Raw genomic sequence first — 5,031 nt, 5'->3', positions numbered from 1 at the left:
AAGAGATCGTCAAATGTTTAGTGTAATTTGGAAGAAGATGTCTAAGAAATTTCCAAGTAATAGAAATTTTTTTAAGTTTATATATTTGGCTAAGAAAAAAGCTTCAGTTTTCTTGGAAATTTAATTATGTACCAAAGTGAATCCCCACATGATATAAATGAGAATATCTACTAAGAAACAACTAACTATAAGACCCCTGGTGTATTAGTCCATTTCTGCACTACTATAAAAAAACTACCTGAGACTGGGTAATTTATAAAAAGAAGGTTTAGTTGACTCACAGTCCCATATGGCTGGGGAGGCCTCAGGAAACTTACAGTGATGATGGAATGGGAGGCAAGGCACACCTTACATGGCAGCAGGAGAGAGAGAGTGTACACGAAGGGGGAAGCACCATCAACGCTTGTGAGAATTCACTCACTATCATGAGAACAGCAAGGGAGAAATCCAACCCCATTTTTCAATCATCTCTCCCACCAGGCCCCTCCTTTGACATGTGGGGATTATAATTCAAGATGAGATTTGGGTGGGCACACCGAGCCAAACCGTATCACCTGGTGATGGCTCCCCTGGCTTAGAATTTTAGATTACTAAATGAACAGGGCAATAACACAGGTACTTATCTAAACATAAGCAAAGACCAGCTACTTGTAAAGCAAATATTTTAACACACTTAAAAGAGTCAAATGGCCACATAAAAAGGCCAGAATAATTAATTATTTTGGTTATTTTAACTTTACCCAAAATAGAAATATGTATATTGTGTGTATAAAGCTAAGAACTAAGCTCACGCATAAAGCCACGCATTTTTAAAGATGTGCAAAATATCACTTTCCAAGGATATTCATACCTAACAGAAACACTGTTCCATTATGTAAAAAACAGGAACATGTTGCTAATCCAGCATTATTTACATTGATGGGCTAAAATGCTAACTTGAAATAATTACTGGATTGGTTCTGTTCAATTACCAAAGCTTGACATTCACCTAAAAACTCCCCATTCTGAGTTGTTGCTACAAAAAGAAACTATTAACCACCTACAAAGTAAGTCAGCACCTTATTTCATCTGCCTACAACACCTCCATTACACACAATACTCCCTGAGAATAGTATTAAAAGATGAATAGTGATAAAAGACAAAACCTTTTTTAAGAGCTAGTAAAATCAGCCTCACCAACACACAGATTACAGGCATTTTTTTGTTTTGTTTTTTGAGATGGGGTATTTTTCTGTGGCCCAAGCTAGATTGCAGTGGCACAACCATAGCTCACTGCAGGCTCCTATGTTCAAGCGATCCTCCCACCTCAGCTTCCCGAAGTGCTAGGATTACAGGCATGATCCACTGTGCCCAGCCTAACAGGCAATTTTTTACTACTATAATTCAAAAAGTATTTTAAACACTATAAATGTGTAATTTTTAGCACATAAAATAATTGCCTCTAAGCATACTTTTATTTATAGAATTTCTACAAGTGTAATTTTAAAAAAACCCTTAAAAATTCTCCCCAAAATAAATAGCACTTTTTCACAATATGACATTTTAAAATGTTAAACTTTGGACTATATGACAATTGGACAAAAAATGTAATCTAAGCCAATTTGATGTTCCTCAACTAAAATGAGTAAGATGTTATCAAACTTATGAAATTTATTCAGCAATTTTAAAGACGTTTAATTTAAATACAGGCTGATTAGTAACCTGGTGTCTGGCGCCATCTACTGCACAGCAGCAGTAACTTCTCCCTGTATGTTTCTTCAGCTAGACTGCAAATTACTTAATTTATGTAAGAAATATGTACCTGTGTGAAAACGACTGGAAATTAATTTGAAGATAGAAAAATAATTGCTGTGTTTAGAGTGTTGCTTTGTCTTTTTTTTAATGGCCTTATATTTTTTAAGAAAATATATTGACGAAAATTATTTACAGAACAAAAAATACAACTTGAGAAGCTTGGACAAAATGAGAAAGTGAAGAGCACCAAGGTTGGGAATGAATTTCTTACGATCCCTTACAAGGTGATGGGCATGGTAGATTACCACAAAGCTGAGGATGGTGACCTAAGTCATGTGACAGTTCAAAATTAAAGACCTGCTTTTTCTATTACTATTTATAATTAAAACTTGTTATCTAGCATAACATAAATCAAGACTTATAAATTAGCCCTATGAGAAATGGGTTGCTCACATGATCACCTAACGCTAATGGAGGAAAAGATATGAAGACATTCTCTGAATTGTCAAACAAAAATAAATGTATGATTCATATAGTTCAGTTTGATAGAAGTTTCCAAGATAACTGTGCTGGGGAGTATAAGGTTCCAGGGCTTTGTTTGTACCATATAGACTGCAACCTTGTGGGCTGCTAAACACTGAAAAATGTTGATGTGCAGATACCTTTCCTGGTAGCCATTCTTATACATTCTCCTTTCCTACATATTGTATAAGACCAGTTATCTTAGGCTGTTCCAGCTGCTCTAACAGAGTACCATAGCCTGGGTGTCTTACCAAAAAACAGAAATTTATTTCTCACAGTTCTAGAGGTTGGAAAGTCCATGATTAAGGCAGATTCGATGTCAGTTAAGATCCTGCTTCCTGGTCATAGCATCTTCTCACTGTGTCCTCACATGGCAGAAGGGCAAGGGAGCTCTCTAGAGTCCCTTTTATAAGGCCACCAATCCCATTTATGAGGGCTCCGCCACCATGACGTAATCATTACCCAATGGCCCCACCTCCAAATACTGTCACTCTGGTTTTGGTTTCAACCTATGAATTTGGAGGGAATATAAACATTCAGGCTATAGTACCAAGGAACCTTGAGTGTCAAGAAGGTAACTTAGATATGTTTGTAGGTAACTTTTCCTCCATAGTTCTTTTGGAAATTACAATTACGTATCCCTGTGTTGACTTGTTTGTTTCACACCTATCTCCAAGAGGACCAACATTAAGCTATTTCCATTTTGTTCTCTACTCTATCCATAGTACCCAGCACAATGCCTGATACATTCCCACATATACAGCATGGATACAGTAGGCACTCAATGAAAATTTTGACTAATTAATTAAAATACAGACCTGGGGCAAAAGTGGGGGTGGGAGGCAACTTGGAAAAGTAAAGAGAGGATGATAAAGGAAAAGAAGAAACAAAAACTCCAACATTCTATTTATTGACCCTCATGATAGGACCAGAAATTGCTCCAGGGATTATTTAATGGAACTGAGCAATATTTGCTTGGCCTATGAGCATCTCTATGTTTTAAATTCCTACCAATACCTGATAAGACACATGTGCACACACAACGCTCTTCTCAAGAGGACTCAGTACCAATGGCTGAAGGCTAAAATGCTATCACACCCGGTGTCAATCAGGGTTCCAGCAAAGAAGCAGAACTCATAAGAGTGGGATTCATTATAGTGATTTGACCCCACAGAACTGTGGGAGTTGACTAAGCAGTTTACGGGGCTTTTGTTTCTGTATCCAGGCCCTGGAGGGAATGGGTCTGTCATTAAAGAAGAAAAGATGGGCGTGAGTAGGAAAAAGCAAGGAGAAACCATGGCCTACAAGGACAAGGTGGAACATACGTGGCCAGGCCGAATCCCACCTCAGTCTCTCAGTGCCCCCAACTTCAGCGAGGAACGTGACCTGCTGGTACTCGTCCTCACAAAGGTAAACACACTCCCTGGGCACAGAAGCTGGAGCAGCTGTGAGGCCAGCTGCTGCCCATGTCCCCAGGGCGGCCAACAGAGGTGCAATCACACACGTGAGCAGAACAGGTCCCGGGCCCTGCACCCACCTTCTGAGCATAAAAGCAACATGCTGCTGCTTCTCTTCCGCCTTCCAAATCTCGTACATCAGTGTCTCTTCTGGACCACACTAACTATGCAGGAAACTCTGCAGGGAAGGGAATTCAGGGAACTATCATTCCAGCTTAGCTTCATTGACTCAATACAAATCTACTACATCAAATTTGATGATTCGGTTTTGTTTTACCTGCGGGCGAATCTACTCATTACTGCAAGGGAGTACCAGGAGTCTCACACAGGCAAGTGTAGCACACTCAAGACCTTTCCTTGGCCAGACGCGGTGGCTCATGCCTGTAATCCCAGCCCTTTGGGAGGGTGAGGCGGGCAGATCACAAGGTCGGGAGTTTGAGACAAGTCTGGCCAACATGATGAAACCCCATCTCTACTAAAAATACAAAAATTAGCCAGGCGTGGTGGCGGGCACCTGTAATCCCAGCTACTCGGGAGGCTGAGGCAGGAGAATTGCTCGAACCTGGGAGACGGAGGTTGCAGTGAGCCGAGACCATGCCATTGAACTCCAGCCTGGGTGACAGGGCGAGACTCTGTCTCAAAAAAAAAACAAAAACAAAAAACCTTGCCTCAAATGGAGACTGCTTGCTTAGACATGAGTCATCCTCTCTTAACCTAGAATCAAACTTTACAAAGTCAAACATAGGCAGATGCCGCAATCATATTTACAGGTAAAGCTAATGACTTCCACGTGAGGAGAAGCTTACTTATAGTAATTTCAGTGTAAAATTGCAAGAACTAAGATGTGATCATTTTTAAATCATCTTAATAGCTAACATGCCCATGATGACTTACGTGGTCACAATCACGCTAAATGCATTACATTGGCCAGGTGCAGTGACTCACACTTGTAATCTCAACACTTTGGGAGGCTGAGGTGGGCAGATCATTTGAGCCCAGGAATTTGAGACCAGCCTGGACAACATGGCAAAAGCCCATCTCTACAAAAAATACAAAAATTAGCCAAGCATGGTGGCAGTTGCCTGTAGTCCCAGCTACTCAGGAGACTAAGATGAGAGGATCGCCTGAGTCTGGGAATTTGAGGCTGCAGTGAGCTGTGATCATGCCACTGCACCCCAGCCTAGGCAAAAGAGCAAGACCCTGTCTCAAAATAATAATAATAATAAATGCCCTACATGGATTATCTCATTCAGTACTCACAACAATCTTATAATACAGTACCATTATTACCCCTTTTAAAGAAGCAGACCGAAGTTCA

This window comes from Homo sapiens, chromosome 18, assembly GCF_000001405.40.
Source record: "Homo sapiens chromosome 18, GRCh38.p14 Primary Assembly".
NCBI classification, from domain to species: Eukaryota; Metazoa; Chordata; class Mammalia; order Primates; family Hominidae; genus Homo; species Homo sapiens.
The sequence above is the reverse complement of the archived record's forward strand: the minus strand, read 5'-3'. Positions refer to the sequence as shown.